We start from the raw sequence: 23,210 nt of genomic DNA, 5'->3' as shown, positions 1-23,210 counted from the left end.
TTATTTATTAGCTCTAATCCTCTTAATCAATTATTTTAATATCCAAAGTAACATATGTACAAATAAAAATGTATAAAGAAGACACTTAAAACCTCTTCCAGCTTTACATCCCCAACATGTAGCCTCCCTGAAGTAATTAAATGTAATACATTCAACAACTTGGTATATTCGCATATATTTTCCTTCCATATTCACACAAAATATACAAACATATGCACATGTTCAGAAAACATGTAAATATACTTCACCTCTTCATATCTTTCAGGATTATGCCCAAACGTCTTCTTTTTTTATTTCCCCAGAGAGACTTTTCTTCACCACCCTGTGTGAAGCTAGTATTCCCTTAACCATCGTTGCCTCATTGGAAATCCCAGGCGTGTGACTACATTGCTTTATTTTTTTCCTGTAACACTTAGCACCAGATATAATATATATTTTATTTATTCATTTATTTGTGTGTGAGAGAGTCCTCACACCTTAGAATATATTTTGTGAGGGTCAATATTTGTGTCTGTTTTGTTTACTGCTGCAACCCAATGCTATAACAGTGCCTGACAGTAAATGCTAAAAAATTATGAAGGAATATGTGAGTGTGTGTGTGTGTGTGTGAGAGAGAGAGAGAGAGTGTGTGTGTGTGTGTGTAGTTTTTTTGGGGGGGGTCATTATTCTGTTTTCTTTTTTAATTTAAAGTATGATGATACTAAGTAAATAACTGTACAGTTTGCTTCTCATATTAAAAAAATCCAGCAAGAAGAATAGACACATATCTAATATATTTTTTAAATTTTGAGATACACAATATTCCACAGTATGGACTTCACATCATACTTAATTATTCTAATATTGATGGATAGCCAGTTGTTTTCATTTTTTAAATTGAGAAACAATATAATACACTTTCAGTATTATCCTTGTGTGCTGGTGCTTTTATTTCTAAAGCATAATAATAATAGCTGTTATTGATTGCTTTTAGTGCAGAACTTTTCTAAACACTTTAAATCCACTAACTCATTTAATTTTCCCAATAGTCCTATTCATTAGATATAGATATTATCCACATTCAGTGGAATACAACTGAGGGAAGCGTAAGTAACTTGCCCAGTGTCACAGGTCTGCCGAGAAGCTAAGCCAAGATTGAAATTCCATCAGTCTGAACCAAGATACTGCTTTCCTAAAAATTATACAGATTACAAAAGTAGGATTGGCTTGTCAAAGATAATACATATTTTAAAAGTAATAGCTTTGGCCAGGTAATTTCCGAATATTAATTTTGTCACCAACTATAAATAAGAGTGTCACCAATAATAAATAAAAGTATTTGTTGCCCTTTATCCTCTTCAGGAGATTTTTGATATTATCATCTCATTTTATGATGTGTTAAATTTTTGCAGAAGTAATAGGTTAAAAGAAAAGATGTTTTGAATGCAGCTTCTAGTGAGGATTAATTCTGTGGTTGGGAATTAATACGAGTTTGTATATATTGCTTTACAGGTAAAAAATGTCTGTCACAAATGCTTTCGGTGAAATGGAAATGAAGGCTAATTTCTGGTGATTACACAGTCATGGCCTCTAAATTACTATTAAGGTTACAGGGATTTAAAAAATGCCTATTCCTAGCAATGAGGCTGTTTGTAACCACCGCTTCCCCTTCCTTCTCATAGGACAGGATGAAACAAACCTTGAATGTCAGGTGCTTTGTTAAAGAAAAAGGAAGGTAAATGCATGACAGTGAAATCAGAATGCCAAATACACTTGGGCTGTTGTTTTGGTATGGGTTCCTTATTCACTTACTCTGCCATATGAGAGGTTTTCAAGAATGCAATTACAGCTGAGTTTATTCTGACCTGGATCAAATTCATTGTACCGAGGCATGAAGAGAGTATGATCCCTTAGCAAAGGGGTCTATATTACAAACAACAGGTCGTGAATGAGAAATGAGACCAAATTTATTCAATTGTAAAATTGCCAACCTATCGTGAATAATTTCTATCCTTAGGGTGACTGTATAGTTGATGGTTCAAACTGTGAAATTTCGAGAGTGGAAGGATTGCTACCGATAATTATGCTGGAGTACCAGATATACACCGAGACCTTTCCTGGAAAGCAGAGATGTATAGTCACTCTACATACCCCAGATTTTGATTTTTTATTTTTCCCACATTGATGCTTCAAAATTTGCTTGTAAAAAAATACTGGCTAAGTGATGGGCAGTAGTATTTTTCATCTCATTCTCTTTTTATATCTGTCTTTCCTTGTCCCTCTTCCCTTTTCTCATTCGATATTTTTCTACCATGCCATATTCTTTCATTTTAAAATATAATATTTCTATTTCTGATTGATAAGAATATAAATAAAAGCAAAAGATGAGCTGAAGTTGGCTGTGGGCTTCGTGAGTTCTAGTGTGGATACACCATGAGCCATGGTCCCGTCCTCTTGGTTTTTCCTGTGCTTACCCTTTTATTTTACTGTCACGTTACCTACAATTTCTGCCTCATAGTTATTCTAAAATAGAAATTCTTGAATTCCATGAAAACAAATATATCTAAATATTTTAAAAGAAAATGGGGTGGGTTGGGGGAGAGAGAGACAGTGACTGAACTAGCTAGTACAAGAAAGAGAGCACAAGGAAGTTTATATCAGATATAAGTTATCAAATCCTTCAACCACAGTTACTATCAATTCTCTATACACACATTAAGTTGCTGCCTGACCATGTTAAATGAGACCAAAATTAATTTGCCTGTAAGTCTGGTGAGAGCCAATATTTGTTTTCTGAAGCAGTTATTTGACTGACCTACTAACCGTGAAAATACTTCTTCAAGTTAAGGGTTAGGATAGGGAAGAAGAAGCAAGTTCTGTATGCACAAGCAAAAGGTTGGCCCTCACCATCAAAGCTCCTGTCATAAAGAGTGAATAGAAGGAAGGATTGTTATTATTATGACTTTGGTTTTATTTAAGTATAAAAGTATCAGCACTTTAATGCTCAAAGTATAGCCATAAGCAAGATTAGAAAATGTACTTGCTGTATATTGTTCCAGCAACACTCTGGGTTTGCCCTACATTTGTATATAGTTGGTTTTCTGTATTAGTGTTTTATCATAGACCGAGTATCATTTGTATATTTTTCAAAATTACATAAATAAATCATTTTATCATTTTATTTATTAAGTCCAGAAACTGATTTTAGGGGTAGAGGGATGAGTTGTGCTATTTAATCTTACTCTGGCGGATAAATAAACATATGGATTCAAAGGTGTTGAGTGAGAGAAGACTCTTGATATGTTAGAAGACCACTGCTCTAGGATATGTGTAGAAACAAAACTGACACATAGGAAGTACTTAATGAATGTTTGTTGAATGAATAAATTTTCAGGCCTGCCTGAAATATCTATGTGACATGTGTCGACACATACAGCCCCTCTGGTACTCAGTATCATATTCTGAAAAATGAAGGTGTTAGACAAGGATTTCTAGCAACTGTTTTACTTCTAAAATTCTGTAATGTGGTGGTGGCTCACACCTGTAATTCCAGCACTTTGGGAGGCCAAGACGGGCAGATTGCTTGAGCTCAGGAGTTTGAGACCAGCCTGGACAACATGGTGAAACCCAGTCTCTACCAAAAATACAAAAATTAGCCAGGTGTGGTGGTGCACGTCTGTGGTCTCAGCTACTGTGGACACTGAGGCGGGAGGATCGCTTGAGCCTGGGAAGCAGAGGTTGCAGTGAACTGAGATGGTACCACTGCATTCCATCTTGGCCAACAGAATGAGACTCTGTCACAAAAAGAAAAAAAAAAAAAGATAAAACTAACCCTTAGAAAAAAAAATCATGTTTCCTGAATTCAAGAGAAAAAAATCTTATTGGGCATGTATGCTCACATAAAATTTTAAAATCTTATTAGCAGAAACATATAACAATGCAAAGCGGAATCCATCTTCTTGAAATGGAGATATGGTTATTTGCAATGAAAAAATTAGTTTATATTTTCATAAGTTCTGACTGAGGTTCTAGAGTCTAATCCTTTTAGGATATATAGTAATTTTAATAATTTGCACCCAGACACTTTAATTGGTAGAATATACCCTGGTTTCTTCCTTCATCTCATTTCAGAACAGATTCTGCCTTTAGATTATGTGCATGGCACACCGTATTTATTTCTTTACCAAGTATGGCATTCACAGTAATGGAAAACACTAGTCGGAAGCAGTCTGTAATTATTATGATTATCTCTAATTCTCTTTTCTGCTTCTCTGGGTTTTTGTTTATTTGTTTTGGTTTTGTCTTGTTTTGTTTTATCACATAAGAGCCTGAGCTTCTCTAGGCCCAGTAGCTGAACTAGCAACCGACACTGCTATATCTAATTTTAGGGAAACTTCCTGGGCTAGATATTAACAAAATATATTTTTTTCTTCTTTAGGTCAGTATAAACAAACAAATAAAACCCAAACAAATCTCAGAAGTTCTAAAAAATAACATTATTATGAAACTGGAGAAAAATAAATATCTAAAAAATAAAATTTTAAAAATCAATGAAATTATGAACAGTTTTATTACTGAATGTAACTAAGTATCCACCCAGTTGTAGTTTCTGAAATTTACTGGAGAAATACCATTCCAATGATTGCCATGTACATTAGGTAGTCATTTATCTGTTCCTTTACAGAAAAGAGAAGATTGATACACCCCAAGTCCTGAACTACAGGGCCGATATCTAGTTCCTCTCATTTCTCCAGATGACCCCTGCTCTGAGGGGTTGACAGCCCTGCAGAATTCTAATTTCTGCATTTTTACAATATTAAGTTACTTTATAACTATAGTATAATGATAATGACAACAGTAGTAATGGGAGGTTGATATCTCATACTCAGTTGCTCTGTTATGTAGCCACACATTTTCTTTCTTTAATAAATTACTAAGAATCAAACCTCTTCCTTTTTTTTGTACATTGGCTACTATTTGGTTTTAAGGAATCTTGCCTCATCAAGCAAAGCAGACAAATAGTAATCTCCATGAGAGCAGAGGGCATCCTTATTATTTTATCCACAGTCCTTCACACAGTACATAGTGCAGAATTATGTGTTCAATAAATATGTGCTAAACAAATCAAATATGTAACAGGTACACACACATACATACACACAGGGATTACAATCTATTTGCTTATATCCTAAAGGAGATCAAAACAAGTTTTAAGGAATGCCTACCGTGAATAATATAGAAATCAAAGAGTGGGATCTAAATGGATTTACAGAAACCTATCTCTTTTTCATTGATTCTTGCTGGAAACTTTGGAGTTAGTCAAACTTGGCTTTGAACCTCAGTGCTAGACTGACTAAGTAAATATTTATCCTCCCAGTTTCCTCTTCTTTAACATTAGGGTAATAATACTTAACCTCTTTGGGTTGTTGTATTGATTAAATATGCATAGAAAGCTCCTAACACATTTTGTGTCTAGATTAATGGTTGTAGAGCTTGCATGAGAATTAGAGTTGAGATCATTTGGGGTGTGATTTTTACGTGTTGGCACCAGGTGCTTTCAGATGTGACAATTAAAGGAGGTAGAGTGGAAGAGCCTAGAGGCAGGAGATTTCTTTAGTGAATAGGGTATGGTGAAGGTAGGGTTATGAGTATAATAAAATCTTTTCTGTTGAATGATTTCTGGAATCTCCTTGCAAGTTTGCATGCAATTAAATTAAAATAATGTTCTCCCCCTCATCACCCCCTTCTTCCATCTTTGGCTGTTAATCATTTATTCTGCTTTGTACTTAGATTTTTCTTACCCCAAGGCCTTAAGTGATTAACGGATTTCTGGGTTATTTGCATTTTCTTCTACAATTTCTTTCTTTCAATCTAATCTTCATATATGCCTCTTATCTGTACCAGTGTAATCACAGCAGAGTTGGGCTTTTAAGGAGAAAGTTCAGCACATTTGTGACCTAAAACTTGTAGCCAATCCATACAGCAGAGCTACTCGGCATTTGGGAAAAGGTGGTGCCATTATTCACGTGCTTCCATAGGAGCCAGGTAAGTTTTTATTTGCTTGCTTTTGGTACCCACATGATGAGCTTATTACTCTATAGTTTAATTCCTTGTATTTCATGAAAATTTTCTTTTTCCATGAATATTACCTAAATATTGTGACAAGGAGATTTTCATATATTATCCAGTTTCCCTTTTACTCAGGAATAATACATTTACAGTCTTATAGTGTTTGTAGAGTGATTCTGTAATCTGAAAACTACAAACTACCAGTTTTCTTTGAAAAAAATCATATGGTTACCCTATCTGGACATAGTTGAAATGAAGCTAGACTGTTCAGGTTTCTGTGTGTCTATGCAGTTCAGGGTGGGTGACCTGCATTCCATCTTTTGCTTATGTTGTGTTGACCTAGGCCATGCTTTTTGAAGATGAAGAAATTTATGAGATATGGCCAAAATAGTTCTTATGTTTAGCCATTAATAATCAACACAGAGACCCACGCTATCAGTGAACCAGGAATGACCTGAATCTATCATAAAGATTGCCTGTGGCCAGCAGTACAGACCATCTTATACATGGCATGATGCATTTTACTGACCATGTTTGGCTAAACTGGCTGCCTCAGGTGACTATCTTGTTTCCATTAAAGCACTTGTATTAGGAAATTACCTGAAACCTAAGAAGCTATTTTCTTTACCATTAGAATATAAATAACAAGTGGACCCTGGTGATTATTATATTGCTTCCACATTCCCCACCAATCCCTTCAGGCCAGTCAGTGGCAGATCTAGGGTGGGTTTTTACTCTGTTTGCATTGCCTACTTTCAGGGTCACAAACCTGTCCTTTCTGTAACTTAGGGGCTCTTTAGTGACCCATGTTTCACTGTGTTTGCTCTACAGCAGATGTCTGACTTTTTAAAGTTTCCCCTGAGCAAGATAACCTGTCTTTCCAAATCCATCACAAGTAGGTGCAGAAATTTCACATTTTCTTTCCACTCCAGGGATCAGAGATGGATGGTCAAGGCAGTTTTTTGTTGTTATTGTTGTTTTGTTTTTGTTTTCTATTTTTCCACTTTTGTGTGCTAACCCATTATACTTCATTACTTACTTTGTTCCTAAACTGTATCTCCTTAGTATTGTAAATACTTAACACATAATGGAACAACTATTCATCTCTCTTTCACTTTATTTCTTACATTTTCACTTTGGAAAGAATCCATCAATATTTACTCTTGAATCATGAAAATGATCCTACAGTCACTGAATTATAGAGTCATAGAAAGTTAGAGCTGAAAAGAAGCTAAGTTGTATTTCTCTTGCATCTATGCTTCCAATAGAGCATATCTTGGACCGTTGTAACTGCATGAAAATTTCCCCCATGCAGCTTCCTATGTCATAAAGCATGTCACATGCTCTTGATGTTTGAGGTTTTAATGGAAAACCCCAAATATCTATTAAATTGAGCCCATTCAATCTCTAAGACTATGCTGCAGCTATTTTCACAGCTCTGAATAGTCTAGAAGGCATTTCAAAATATAAGCTTTTTCCAACTGAAAGCTTAGGGAATGTCATTTGAAGGTCACAGGGATGATCCATATCAAAACATATTCCTCATCCGTTGAACAGAGATTTCTTTGTGGAGAAAAACAATGTTTTATCCTTTGTTCATACATTTGAGAAATGTATTAAACTGTTATCTAATATACTAGCATCTTACTATAAATTGGTTCAGATCCCCTATTTTCTTTCCTTTATTGTTTTACTTAGAAGAGGAAAGTTCCTAGAGATTGATAATCAAAAGAAAGATTTGATGTGCATTCTGGAAATAAGGATGAGGACATTCAATTTAGTCTAAAGAGTGGGGTAATGGAGATCAGTATTTAAAAAGGCACTGAAACCACAGTACACAAAATGCAATTGTTCCCAGTAACAACTCCCAACTGCTCAAGTTTCTCTACCTTGCAAGTGGGAAGAGGGTCTCTCCAGTACTTTCCAATGACATCATGGCAAATAAAGGACTATTGTTAGTATGGCTGAGGTCAGGATGTTACCTAAATCACTAACCTCACACTAAGTCTGCCCTATCCCCTCTTAGGTGCTTTCCCATGGCATTTTAATACTATTACTGTTATTTTACATTTATATAGCCCTTTTCTCTGAGGGAAATTACACCTTTCAAATGTTGACTTAGTGCTACCCCAGCCCTGTTAGTCATTGCTTATCCAGCCAATACATGTTCAGCTCCTTTAACCTTTTTCCATAAATACATCATTCCATTTCTTTCATCATTTCAGTGCTATTCTCCGTACTGAGTCCAATTTCTCAACACATTTCAAGTGTCGAGGAGCCTGATGGTACCTTAGCCGAACCAGAGTCAAGGAAGGCGGGAGTCATTTCTCTATATTTTTGCTCTGCCCCAACATAATGGATCATTGTATTCAATTCGAAATAGCATCAGCCCCTTTGGCAGCCATATCATATTGCAAACTGATATCTAATTTGTCCTCCATTATCAGCTCCAGGTCTTTTTTCAGCATTACCACTCACCAGGTTTCTCCTGTCCATTGAATTACTTTGCTCAAGATGTATTGGTTTTCATTTTTCTAGGCTGAATCTCATTTTGTGATTTTTCAAGTCATATTACTATCCTCTCTGGTCAATTTATATGACATCTGAGGAGCCTCAAAGGTGCCTGCCATACATCTTCACTTATCACCTGCAAAGTTCATTAATAAGCTATTTCTACTGTTTCCTTATCTAGGAGATCATTAAAATAATGAAAATAATCCTTCTTCCAGGTAATTTTAAAAGAGATTCAATAGAACCTGAGCTAACACTACACCACCACCACCAACAACAACAAAAAACACTTTTTAACACTATTTTTATATATAATATTAGTTTTTTTCTACTTCTTTGTAGTTTAAATTACCTAAGTTAATTTGGATTACATTCTTAATAAAGGTTTTGAGAGTTTGCTGATATTTCTATATTTTCATAGAGACTCCATTTTATCTATGCATTACTTGGAGTTGTTAAAACAAAAATCCATTTTTAAAGTGTTTAAATGTCATTACCTTAGCTATATGGAAGCCATCTGGATCCATAAAAGGATCATTTAGCTTCTCTTATCTCCATATGCCACATAAGTAATTGTATCAACTTCTTTTATAGGGGGACTGAGGATGATACATATAGAGGTCATCAGAAATGTTTTCTTCTCCTATGTTGAAAGAGCCAGAGAAAATTACAAAGAATTGCCCAACTGGATGTGGTTATGTAGTATCACTTTCAGAGAGTCTAGACACGGAGAAGTAGAAAGAGACATTTATGTGTTATAATAATTCCTAGGTTCTGAGGTTTACTGAGCAGTAAAGGCACTTTTTCTAATAGAGCCTTGGATCTGAGTTTACACACAGTATTGTTTGTAGGCTGTGTGACAGATCTATACTGATATTTTTATATGTAGATAGAAGCCATGGTTAGTAACAAAATATGTAGTTTTTTTCTAACATAAATACTACTATTATATGCATGTCTGGAGATTATTTTAATATTTAAAAATGACTCCTCATATGGGCAAATGTTGGGTTCACTGATCCGCAATAAGCATTTCAATAAAATATCTCATCTGTTTAAGGAATATGTTGGGAAGGACAGATAGTACTTTTTTCCATCTTGAGATTTGTTTGACACAATTTAGATGCATTCCATTGATTTTCCTCAATTATAAGGGGTAATAACTTTGATCTACACTGGGGTATGTAGAGATCTTTGTTATTTAGTTAGAATGGTGTCTGCAACAACACAAAAAAAGAAAACAGCAATACATATTAAATTTTCACTGTGAGAATTTATTCTCATATGTAACAGGCAACATGTCAGGCACATTCATCCACAGTGCCACTTTTAATCTTTATTACAATCTTAAGATATGCTTTTCCCTCTATTTTACATTTTAGAAAACTTGTCTTCTGAGAGCCTGCAGACTAAATTACCCAAAGTCACACACGTTTTAACAGAATGATAGGGATAATTGAGTGACAGAGCTAGAACTGGCAAATTCTCTAATCCTTGCTCTGTTCCCAATGCCTTGCAAACTTTCTAGTCATGCTGTATGTTCTACCCGTCAGCTTTTAACTGTAAAGTAACCATGTTGTTATACTCTAGACTCTGGGTCAGGAATTTGGGCAGACAGTGGAGACAGCTTGTTTCTGCTTCATGATATCTGGAAGTTCATCACTCAAGCCTGGGAGTTACTCTGTGGCTTTGAATGGCTCAGTGGTTGGTAACTGGTAATATCTGGCTGCATCTTCACTTAGATATGTGGCAGTTAATGCTAGCTCTTGGCTGGGATCTCAGCTGGGGAAGTCAGCCAAAATGCTTACAGTGACGTCTTCATGTGAAGCATGACAAAACTCAGACTTCTCATCTGGTGGCTCAAAGCTCTGAAGGAAAAGTATTTTGAGAAAATCAGGCAGAAACTCTATTGCCTTTTATGATCTAGCCTTGGAAATCACCGAGTATCACCTCCTCTGTGCTCTACCAGTCAATCATTCCCTAAGTTTAGTCCAGGTTCCAGGGGAGAGAATGCAGACCCTACTTCCCCATGGGAAAGTGTCAATTTTAAGACATGTTGAAAACCTTTACAATTCAGTATCATAATAATAAAAAAAAAAACTTCATTAGTGGCTGTGACGGTCATTCAGTGCTGCTGATTGTTTGAAATTTTTGAAGAACCCTCTTTCTTATGGCTTTGGTTTATTTACTATGGCTCTTAACCATGGCTACAAGTCATCTCTGGAAAGCACGATAAATCTATCAGTCCTGGAATCCACTTCAAATTTTCTCAAAAAAAAAAAAAATCTATATAAGGGGAGTACAGGAATATGTAGTTTCACCAAGTTCCTGGTGATTCTTAGGCAGCTGGCCTGACCTACGCACCAAGTTTTACTTACACCACTCTCTACAGATAGGGTTGTTATCAAAAGCCTGCCTGGTAAATTCCCTGGCCTCTGCTTTTAATGCACCCTGTCATTCTCATATTTTCCCTCTGCCTAGGAAAGGCACCTGAACCTTTATAAATATCACCTTTACATTTGCAAGTAGAATCCTGAGAGCTTCCTTCTTCATCTCATCCGGAATGGATGACAACACTCTAACAAAGTCTTCGCTGAAACTATCACAGCAGGAGGTGTACCAGCTTAAAGCTGTTGGTTGATAATCACTCTACTGTGAATGGTTGGGCTGGTAGCACCCAGTGATTCGATTTGAATATTTATGAGTTGATGTATTCACAGAAGTGCCACCTTGGGGTGCCACTGCAGCAGCTCCAGTCCAGTGAAAACATCTTCAAAACATCTTCAAAGAGCCTTGTCAGCTTCCTTCAGCATTCTTTTCAGGTTTAGAATTAGAGGAGAATGACAGTCCACACCTCAGAAAGAACCCTGATAAAATCTATTAACTCCTTCTCCCCTTACACATCCATCTTTTAGCTGCAGCAGCAACCAGTCCCCTCAGTGGAAATTTTATCACTACTTGAATTGAAAATAAATGAGTAAGGATTTTAGCACTACCTACCTGAATTGAAAATAAAAGAATAAAGATGCTTCTAGCTTACCTGCCTATCTGGTTTTCAGATTATGAATTTTACAAACAGATTCATCTCCACATCAAGATCGTATGTGGAGATGTCTACTACTATCCATACGTGGAATGGGAGAGAAGAGACTATAAAGGAACAGCTGGGGAGGATAAAGATATTTCTGTAGATTTGAGGCTGAAAGGGCATTTGGTAATTATCTTGATAAGGAGCAGGTCACTAAGGAAATTGTCCTGCAGTTCAATATAGAGGGTACCATATAAACCCTACAGTATTTATCCACAGGATAGGAAAGGCAAACTCAGCTTCCTAAGCTCACTAGACCACAGTCATCCTAAATTCCAATCACTTCTTCATAGCTATGTCTAGAGGAGGATAAAAGGTGACGATGAAAGAGAATCCTTTCCACAAATCTTTCACACAAGGTTTAGTGTCTTTGGAAAAGGTAGGTAAAACAAGCAAAAATCAGTGAAAGCCAAATTTAATTATTTGTAGGACTGGAATAAGGTTGTGGAGGAAAAGAAGCAAACAGGTAACATTTTCTCTTCCTTTCTATCCTCTTGGGTGTTTTCAGACTGGACCTACCTATCTATTTCTTTAAAGTGTAATTCTTAGACAACCTATATCATAATCCTTTATGGGAAAAATGAAGATGTCTGGAACCCACCTTACATCTACTGAATCAGCAACTCTGGGAGTGGGATCCTAGAATCAGAATTTGTAATGAGTTGCTCACTGACTCCATTGCATACTTGAATTGAAGAAGGACTGACCTAGCCCCTGCTATTGCTTGGATCTGGAAAGAGTGTTCCTAAATGTTTTTGTTAACATGCACCTACCTTTTCTCTGTCCTTGACTGTCAAGGAGACCCAGGGGCACTAAGAGGGTCTTTTGAAGTTTGATGTTGTTAAGTGGTTGACTTTTATAGGTAGTAAGAGTCTTCTTTGATATTAATTAATCATTGGGTCAGCAAGCATTCCAAAGGACAAAGCTAGCTAGAGTGCAACATACAGTAAAAATACTCTTTGGTTTTTGACTAAAAGTTAGAGATTATGTGCTATATCTCAACCCAGTAAAATTGCTTGTCCAAATGGCTGTTATAATTTTCCTAGCACTAGATGGAGCAATGGAGGCTGTGTAACATTCTAATCAATGTAGGGTTCGAACAGATATCAAATTATGTATTATTTTTATCCCTAGGTTTTTTATTGTGTCAAAATATATGTAACATAAAATTTCCCATTTCAAATGTGTAGTTTAGTGTACCAAATACATCATAATGTTGTGCAACAGTTACCAACATCAATCTCTGTAACATTTTTTTATATTGTAAAACTGAAACTCAATACTCAATAAACAATAACTTTCCATATTCCCTTACTTCCAGGCCCTGCAACCACCATTCTACCATCTGTCTATGATTTTGACTATTCTAAGTACCTCATAAGTTCAATCTGATAGTATGTGTCGTTTTGTGACTGATTTATTTCATTTAGCATAATTTCTTTAAGGTTCATCCATGTTGTAACATGTCAGAATTTATGCTTTTTTTCAAGACTTAATATCCATTACACACACACATATATATATGTGTGTGTGTGTGCCAAATATAGTGTATATATTAGACTTATCCATCCATTTTTTAATGAACACTTGCATTGCTTCTACATTTCAGCTGTTGTGAATAACATTACTGTGAACATGGGTATATAAATATCTCTTTGAGACTCTGCTTTCAATTATGTTGAGTTTATACCTAGAAGTGGAATTGCATTTTCATATGGTAATTCTATTTTTAATATTTCGAGGCATTGCCATACTGTTTTCCATAGCAACTATACCATTTTGCATTCTCACCAACAGTACCCAAGGGTTCCAATTTCTCCCCATCCTCACCAACATTTATTTTTCTCTTATTTTGACAGTAGCCTTCTGTTCTTTTGAGAGTAGCTATGAAGAAGTGAGTACTTTGTCAACAATGGGTGTGAGAGGGTATCTCATTGTAGTTTTTATTTGCTTTCCACTAATGATTACTGATGTTGAGCATCTTTTCACGTGCTTATTAGCCACTGCTTTGGAGAAGTGTCTATTCAGGTTCGTTGCCCATTTTTGAATCAAGATTTTTGTTTTTCTGTTTTTAAATGTTAGGTACTTTCTCCATATTCTGGATGTTAATTATTTATCAGACAGAATTGCAAGTATTTTCTACCATTCTGTAGGCTGTCTTTTGCTGATAGTGTCTTTCAATGCACAAAATTATTTTTAATTTCCAAAAGTCCACCTTGTCTTTTTTGTCTATTCTTTTGTTGCCTGTGCCTTTGGTGTCATAGCCAAGATATCATTGCCAAATCCAATGTTGTGAAGTTTTTGTCCTATGTTTTTTGCTAAGACCTTTACAATTTTATGTCTGATATTTGGGTCCTTTATTCATTTTGAGTTAATTTTTATATGATATTAGGCAAGGGTCCAATTTCATTCTTTTGCATGTGAATATCCAGATTTCTTAGCACCATTTGTTGAAGAGGCTGTTCTTTTCCCATTGCATGGTCTTGACAGCCTTGTCAAAAATTATTTGACCATATACACTGTTTACAGCTTAACAATAGTTCAACTTATAATTTTTTTACTTTATGTCAGTGTGAAAGGAAAACATCTTGAGTAGAAACTGTAAGTTCGATACCCATACTACCATTGTGTTTTTCGCTTTCAGTACAGAATTCAATAAATTACATGATATATCCAACACTTTATTATAAAACAGGATTTGTATTAAATAATTTTGCCCAACTTTAAGCTAATGTAAGTGTTCTGAGCATGCTTAAGGTAGGTTAGGCTAAGCTTTGATGTTTGGTAGTTCAGGTGTGACAAACGCATGTTTGCCTTATGATAATTTTCACGTATGATAGATTTATCAGGACATAATCCTGATGAACAGATGATAGGTTTAGCAGGTGCCCACCATAAGTTAAAGGACATCTGCATATGCAAAAGTTTCTTTCTGGGCTCTCTATTCTATTCCATTGGTTTATATGTCTGTCTATATGCCAGTGCCACACTCTTGATTACTGTAGTTGTGTAGTAATATTTGAAACCCGGAAGGGCGAGTCCTCCAGTTTTGTTTTTGTTTTTAAATATTGTTTTGACTATTTGGGATCCTTTTGATATTCCATATAAATTTTAGGATGTGTTTCTTCTATATCTGCAAAAATGACATCAGGATTTTGATAGGGATGGCATTCATTCTGTACATTGCTTTAGTTAGTATTGACATCTTAACGATATTAAATCTTTCAATCCATGAACATGACATGTGTTTTCATTTGTTTATGTCTTCTTTAATTTCTTTCAGCAAAGTTTGTTTTCATCATATATTCTTTGACTGACTCTGTTAATTGCTAAGCATTTTATTTTATGCTATTGTAAATAACATTGGTTTTGTAATTTCCTGTGTAGATTATTCATTATTATTATTACATAGAAATGCTAGATTTCTGTGTGTTAACTTTATATCCTGCTACTTTGCTAAATGTGTTTATTCTCACAGGTTTTTTGTGGAACTATTAAGATTTTCTATATATAAAATCATATGCAAATAGACATAATTTTATTTCTTCCTTTCCAATATGGATTCATTTTATTTCTTTATCTTGCCTAATTGATCTGGCTATAACTTCCAGTACTATGTTGAATAGAAATAGTGAAAGTGCAAGTCCTTGCTTTGATTCCTACACAGGAAAAGCTTTCAGTCTTTCACCATTGATAATGTTTGCTGTGTGTTTTTCATATATGGCTTTACTTATGTGGATATAGTTTCTAGTTGTTGAGTGTTTCTTTTTTTCCATAAAAGGGTGTTCAATTTTGTAAACTATCATCTTTACATCAACTGAGATAATCAGGTGTTTTTTATTTTCCTTCATTCTGTTAATGTGATATATTACATTGATTGACTTTTTGTGTGTGTTGAATCATTCTTGCATTCCTGAAATAAATTTTGCTTTGTCATGGTGTAAAATCCTTTCAATATGCTGCTAAATTCAGTTTTCTAGACTTTTATTCAGGATATTTGCATCAATGTTCATAAGGGATGTTGGTCTTTTGTTTCATTTCCTTGCAATGTTTTTGTCTGGCTTAGCTATCAGTGTAATGCTGGCTTCGTAGAATGAGTTGGGGTGTTCTGTCCTCTTTGATGTTTTGGAAATGTTTGAGAAGGACGGGTGTTAGTTCTTTAAATTTTTAAGTAGAATTCATGAATAAAGACATAAGTTTCAGGGTTTTTATTTCTTAGAAGATTTTTGATTACTAACTTAATATCCTTGCTAGTTATAGATCTATTCAAATTTTCTACTTTCTCATGATTTGGTCTTGGCAGGTGTTGTGTTTCTAGAAATTTGTTCATTTCAGCTAGGTTTTCTAATTTGTTGGCATCTGATTGTTAATAGTATTGACTTCTAATTTTTTTTATTTCTGTAGAATCAATAGTAATGTCCCCACTTTCATTTCAGATTTTAGTAATTTGGATCTTTTCTCTTTTTTCTTAGTCCTTATATAGGTAAAGATTTGTCATTTTCATTCACCTTCTCAAAGAACACATTTTTTGCTTTATTATTTTTTATATTGTTTCTTCTATCTCTAATTTGTTTATCTCTAATCTTTATTATTTATTTCCTTCTTTCTTCTAGCTTTGGATTTAATTTGTCTTTTTTTAATTTCAAAATTTGTAAAATGAGTTTGTTTTTTAATTTTTTAAATTTAAGTGTTCGTAGCATAAATTTTCTCAGCACTTTCAATATGTCCCATATGTTTTGATGTATTGTATTTATATTTTCATGTCGCTAAGTATTTTTTAATTTCACTTGTGATTTCTTCCTCAATCTATTGATTATTTAAGAGTGTGTTATTTAATTTCCACAAATTTGTGAATTTTCTAGTTTTAGTTATTTTATTGATTTCTGACTTCAATCTATTTCGTTGAGAAAAGATACTTGTATGATATCTTTTTTTTTTTTTTTTTTGAGATGGAACCTTGTTCTGTCACCCAGGCTAGAGTGCAGTGGCACGATCCTTGCTCACTGCAACCTCCGCCTCCTGGGTTCAATTCTCTGCCTCAGCATCCTGAGTAGCTGGGATTACACATGCCCACCACCACACCTTGCTAATTTTTGCATTTTTAGTAGAGAAGGGGTTTCACCATTTTGGCCCAGCTGGTCTTGAACTCCTGACCTCATGATCCACCTGCCTCAGTCTCCCAAAGTGCTGGGATTACAGGTGTGAGCCACCACACCCGGCCTATTTTCTTAAATTGATTGAGACTTCCTTTGTGGCCTAATGTAGGTCAATCATTAAAAATATCCCAGGGTACTTGAGAAGAATATATGCGTTGTTAAGTGGACAGAGTATTCTGAATATGTCTGGTAGATCTAGTTGGTTTATTGTGTTAGGTCCTATATTTTCTTACTTATCTTCAATCTGATTGTCCTATTGTTGAAAGTTAGGTATTTAAGTCTACAACTATTATTGTATACTGTCTATTTCTCCCTTTAATTCTGTAATTTTTATTTTATGTATTTTGAAGATTTAATATTAGTTATATGTTTATAATTTTTATATCTTCCTACTGTATTGAACAGTCTATTAATATATAATTCCCTTTGTTATTTCTTATAAACTATTTTATTTTAAGTTCATTTTGTCTGATACTAGTAGAGCCATCCTGGCTCTCTTTTGATTACTATTTTCATGGAATATATTTTTCTATTCTTTCACTTTCAACCTATTTGTGTCTTTGAATCTAAAGTAAGTTTCTTGTAGGCAGCATATAATTGGATCATGTATTTTTATGCATTCTACTAATCCATATATTTTTACTATAGAGTTTAATCAATTTACATTTAAAGTAATTACAGATAGGAACAGATTTACTTCTATCTTTTTGCTACTTACTTCCTATATGCCTCATAACTGTTTTTGTCCCTCATTTTCTGCATTATTCTCCTTTTGCATTTAGTTCATTTTTCTCTAAAGAAATGTTAAATTCCTTTCTCATTTTCTTTTGTGCATATTCTATAGAATATTTTGTGGTTAGCATGGGAACTATATTTAACATTCTAAAATTGTAGCACTCTAATTTGGATTTATATCAGTTTAACTTCAGCGACATACAAAACCCTGCTCCTTTACAGCTTCACCACCACCTCTTTCAGTTGTTGATGTCAAACAATTTTATCTTTACACATTTTGTGCCCCAAAATATAACCTAATAATTATTTTAAATGCATTAGTTATTAAAATTATGTGTAAATAAAATGTACAGTTATAAACCAAAGTTTCAATAATACTATCATTTATATTAATAATTTCTATCATGCAGAAATCATGACTTTTAAATCATGCAGAACAATAGAGTGAAGGCCGGGTGTGGTGGCTCATGCCTGTAATCCCAGCACTTTGAGAGGCCAAGCCTGGAAGATTGCTTGAGTCCAGGAGTTCCAGCCAGCCTGGACAACTTACCGAGACACCATCTGTACCAAAAAATAAGCAAAAAATAGCTCATTGTGATGGCATGTTCTTGTAGTCCCAGCTACTTGGGAGGCTGAGGTGAGAGGACTTTTTGAGCCCAGATCTTCAAGGTGAGTGAGATACAACTGCACCACTACACTCTAGCTTGGCAACAGAATGAGGCCCTGCCTCTAAAAAAAGAAAAGAAAAGAAAAGAAAGAAAGAAAATAAAAAGAAACAAAACAAAGAGTGAAGTTACAATCCATTGTTATAATAATATTATCTTATATAATTTCCCAGATATTTATCTTCATTTGGACCTTTATTTCTTCATATGGCTTCAGGTTACTATCTGGTGTCCTTTCATTTTACCTTGCAGAACTCCATGAAGTACTTCTTTCAGGGCAGTTCTACGGGTAAGGAAATTCCTTAGATTTCATTTATTTGGACATGTTTCAATTTCTTCCAGGCCACTGCCTTCTGGTATCCAAGTTTCTGATGTGAATCTGCTTTTAATCTTATTGAGTAGCTCTCATATATGATGTGTCATTTTCTCTTGTTGCTTTCAAATTATCTTTGTCTTTCCTAAGTTTGATTATAATGTGTCTTATCTTGAGGCTCTTTGAGTTACTTGGAGTTTGTTGAGCTTCTTGTATATTTATATTTCTGTGTTTAATAATAATTGAGAAGTTTTTGGCCATTATTTTTTCAAATGTTCTCTCTGGTTCTTTCCCTTTCTCTTCCCTATCTGGAACTTCCATAATGTGTAGATGGTTCACTTGATGGTGTCCCACCAATCATTTGGGTTCTGTTCTGTTTTCTTCATCTTATTTGCTTTATTCCTCAGGCTTGATAGTTTCTATTTTCCCATCTTCAACTTCAGAGATTCTCCTTTTATAACTGGTCACCTATGTCTTTGAATTTCTCTTGTAATTTTTTTTCAGTTATTGAAATTTTCAGCTCCGTAATTTGTTTATTTTTAGGTTTGCTATTTATTGATATTTATACTTTGTTCATACATATTTTTTTAACTTTCTCCACATCTTCCTAAAGATGAGTATCTTTAAGACCATGGTTTTAAAGTCTTTGTCAGGTAAATCTGCCATTAGTTCTTTTTAGGGACAGTTTCTGTTGACTCATTTTTATATATCTGAATGTGCCATACTACCTTCTTTCTTTATATGCTTTATGATTTTTTGTTGTTGAAAATTGGACATTTGTATCTAATAATGTGGTAACTTTGGAAATCTTTCCCATACTTAGTTTGATGTTTTTGTTTATTGGTTTTTAAAAATTGTTTAGGCTGTTTCTGTGCCATGGATCAGCCTGAGAGTTAAACTTAGGCCCTCCTCAGGTCTTTTCTGAGCCTGTGTTTTTGCCTGGGCATGTGCTGTCACTTTCTAATTTTCCAAGATATACAATTATTTTTGAATGTGCTAGTTATTAATGCTTGGCTTCCAAAAGGGAGAAAAAAAGAAAAATAAAAAGGTTGTGGGGGGGGGAGCATGCTGGTCCTTTAAGTCCTCTGGAAATCTCTTCAGTCACAGGAGGTGGGGCTTACAACAATGGAGGCAGATGTAACAATAACGGTTACCTGCTTCTTTATCTGTGCTTCTGTGATCAGAAGAATTAATCGGAGATCAGACCAAAGATTCCTTATATTTGCAGGACAAGGTCTTTTTTGCTCACCCTTATCCCCACAAGCTGTTACAGGAACACCTGCACAGCTGCCTGCCACAGAGCTCGGAATGTGGGATGGGTAGCTGTTGCTGCACTAAAGCCTGAAAATGATCAAAATTAACTGCACTTTACTGTCCAAGCCTTCCCCTGGAAGTCACAAGCCTTCAGTAGACTCCAGTGTTCCAAAATATTACATCAGACAAATTCTGCCAGAGCAATTGTTGTCTCAATGAGGAAACATATTCCTGTTGCTTCCTACTGTGCCATCTTCCCAGAATCCTCTCTTGTATGACGTGTTTTAATAACTGAACACTATGCAAAGATTATGTGAGTTAATTACCCTTTTGATTAAAGTTATTGGAGGAGTGATGTAGAAAAGAGACATAGTAAGTAGTAATTATTTGGTAACTGATATATGCCAAGCACTATATTGAATGACACATTAAACGTTAATTTAATTTAATGTAAGTTATCAGTATTTTTTTTAAACCCTTTCATATTAGTTAACTAGCTTTTTTTTCTGTTTTATTTATTCTGTGATACGACTTGGTTTTTCTCTCTCAGACATCCACTAAAAATGGGATGGAAGTTACTGGAAATCCAAAATTAGATATTCTGCTCTGTAACATTTGAAGTGTAGGTAGATGGTATATTTGTTCTACTCCAGTTTTTATCATTATATCATAAAGTCCCCCTCCGAAATTTTTGAATAATATGTAAATACTTGGTACTGGAATAATTACTTTTGAATATTGAAAATTTGGACCATACTTCATTTGTAATTTTTGATAGCTAAGAATTTGCATATATAACATCATCAAATTTTAGATTTAGCAGAAACATTCACTTTTTTAGCAAACAAACAAAAGTCCAAAGTTCATGTTTATTAAAATGTATTTTTCTCTGCCAACAATTTTCAGTCATACTCTTAAAAAGGAGAACTACTTTAATTTCAGTGCTTTTTATCAAGTCGGAAACGAACAACTGAGATTTCTTTCATTTACCAATTTTCACAGAAAAAAATTATACTTGAATTTTAAAAGACACTGCATGTGAACTTCTCTACTTACACATGAGCTGCCTTGGGTGACTCTCTGCTTTAGTTTGTCTAACCCTAAAATTGCAATAAAAGGTAGATAAAATTCACTGGGCTGTTGTAAGGATTAGAATATGTGCATTCAGTGCTTAGCACAGAGCTTATTAAAGCTCAATACCTGCTTCCAATTATTTTATTATTTATCTATTAAATTCTACCTACAGGCAATAGCCTATTCTTATTGAAACCTACCCAATAATTTATAAATTTTGCTAAACCAAAAGTCTCTTACCCTGCATTATTCTGAGTTGTGTAAAGTTTTACATTATTTATAATTATAAACCCATCTTAATGACAATGAAATTCTATACCAAAAAGATCTGTAAATGCAAACTCATTTGCTTTTATTTCCACATACATCAAGCTATGGTCCTATATAGTTGTCATAAAGATTTAATTTTAAATAAGAATACTGTTAATTTTTATAAGTATATAGAAACTATACATTAATTTTTCTTAAAAACCTTAAATAAAAATTATCCATTTTGATGAATGATAATTAGCTTTTCCTCTAGAGCATTGGTAATGTATAACAGCATCCTCTCTCTCTCATTTTACTTTGGTATGTCAGTGTACAGATGGGCCTTCTTTGTTGACAAGGCAGTAATGATGATGCCCCTATCACTTTTCAGCTCTTCTCATTAGCGTCTAACCACTTTCATTTATTATGACTGATTCCCCCTAGTTCCGCATATTAAATGTTAACAAATGGTTCTCATTTTATATGACAATTCTAATAATTAATGATTATGGAAGCATATTAGGCATGTAATGCCAAAATATATTACCTGTAATGTTAATCTCTAATTTGAGTTTCTTTTGTATGTTGGGAATAGAATATGCTATTTAGAAGAAAATGAATATATATGTGTAAACACACTTGCATTTCTACAAATCTCCTTCTCAGTCTTTTGCCTATTAATTTAAATCAATAAAGAATTTCGATTCTAATTTCCCATCATCAGTGTCAGGCTTGCAAGAGAGCTCTTTGTGGTTTAGAGAAGAACAGCATAGCTGTAATTCATAATGGAAAGGGATGCAAGGTGGCAAAGGGAAATATATTCTTGACGTTGCGTTGCTTTATTGCCCAACTGACTATGGGAGAAGATCACTTTCCTTGCATGATGGATTACTAGTTTTCCTTCTATCCAGCTTTGGGAAAGAAGGACAAGGGTAGAGAAGCAGGCCTAAACACTTCGGGGCTCAACTAATGAGCACCAAAAAGACTATAGACAATGCAGTAGAAAGAAAAATGCAAAGAGAAGGGAGGTGAGTGAAACAGTGCCTCAGAAATAAGGAACAGAATTGAGGAAATGTCAGAACTTGATCACACAATCATCCATCAGGAGTCCTGACCGTTTGTAATATCTCAGCACAAATAGGACAGGCACAAGAGAGATTCACTGATGTCAAGGCATATCATATAGACTTCAGCCTAATCTATGCTGCTTGTTAAAATTTTTTCAAGATTCATTTTGTTTTCTTTTATTTTACCTCACAATCACATCCTGTTGCCAAATGAATGTTATTTCTTAGTAAAACACATAATAAGATGTTATTAGGGACTGACATTCTACCCGATACTCAACTTTTCAGTCAGGAATGGATCTAAAATTCAGTGTGTTCTTTATACACTACTTAGTTGAACAAATATCTGCAAAATACTTTAGCATATCCCAGAGAGTACTAGAAAATAAGGTTATATAGTGAAGAACCAAACGGATTATTGTTCTTGATAGCTTCAGGATCTGGTAGAGGAGAAATGGCCATATAATCTTAAACCTTGATATGAAAGTGTCATATAACAGAGATTTAGAGGATAAAATCCTGAAGAAGGTAATGTTTTGGTGAAGTTTAAAAAAAAAGTAAGAAGAATATTCCGTACATAGAGAATAAGATGAACTAAGGTATAGCATAAACAAAACAGAACAAGACGCTAGAGTGTTCCTGGCAACTCTGAACAACTTGACCTTACTAGAAGGTAAAATGCAGGAACATGGGCATGACAGGTGGTAAGAACTGTAGGCAACAGGTCATGGAGGGACATGTGGCTCCCTGTTACTCAGTGTTATCCACAGCCCTTGGCATTGGCCACTGCTTGAGTTTATTGGAAATGTAACATCTCAGGCCAGAAGCACTATATCAAAATCTGGATTTTAACAAGATCCTTAGGTGATTCATTTGCATGTTAATGTGCAAAAGCACTGGTGTAGTAGATGTGGACACATCTAAGAAAAACCTAACTGGAAGTTTGGGGACTACAAGCTCCTCTCAGCTATGGTCTCCACCCTTCTCTTTTCCTTTCTCACCAAGATTAACCCCCTACAGTAGCTTCAGTTTCAACTTGGACCTTGAATT

At 34.7% G+C, this 23,210-nt stretch overlaps 1 protein-coding gene across 4 annotated transcripts in view, besides 1 other annotated feature; it reads left to right on the top strand.

The window, feature by feature from the left end:
* The window catches only part of LSAMP (limbic system associated membrane protein), a 643,114-nt gene that overhangs the window by 95,361 nt on the left and 524,543 nt on the right, over window positions 1-23,210 (top strand). The window lies entirely within an intron of this gene.
* Window positions 3,535-3,706: a silencer, noted in NCBI's record as "fragment chr3:116065268-116065439 (GRCh37/hg19 assembly coordinates)". NCBI's record gives its function as "represses an EF-1alpha promoter that drives an FKBP-Casp9 reporter gene in an ReSE screen in phorbol 12-myristate 13-acetate-treated (for megakaryocytic differentiation) K562 erythroleukemia cells {active_cell/tissue: K562(+PMA)}" and the evidence as "EXISTENCE:reporter gene assay evidence [ECO:0000049][PMID:32094911]".

This window comes from Homo sapiens, chromosome 3, assembly GCF_000001405.40.
Source record: "Homo sapiens chromosome 3, GRCh38.p14 Primary Assembly".
NCBI lineage: Eukaryota > Metazoa > Chordata > Mammalia > Primates > Hominidae > Homo > Homo sapiens.
The sequence above is the reverse complement of the archived record's forward strand: the minus strand, read 5'-3'. Positions and strand labels throughout refer to the sequence as shown.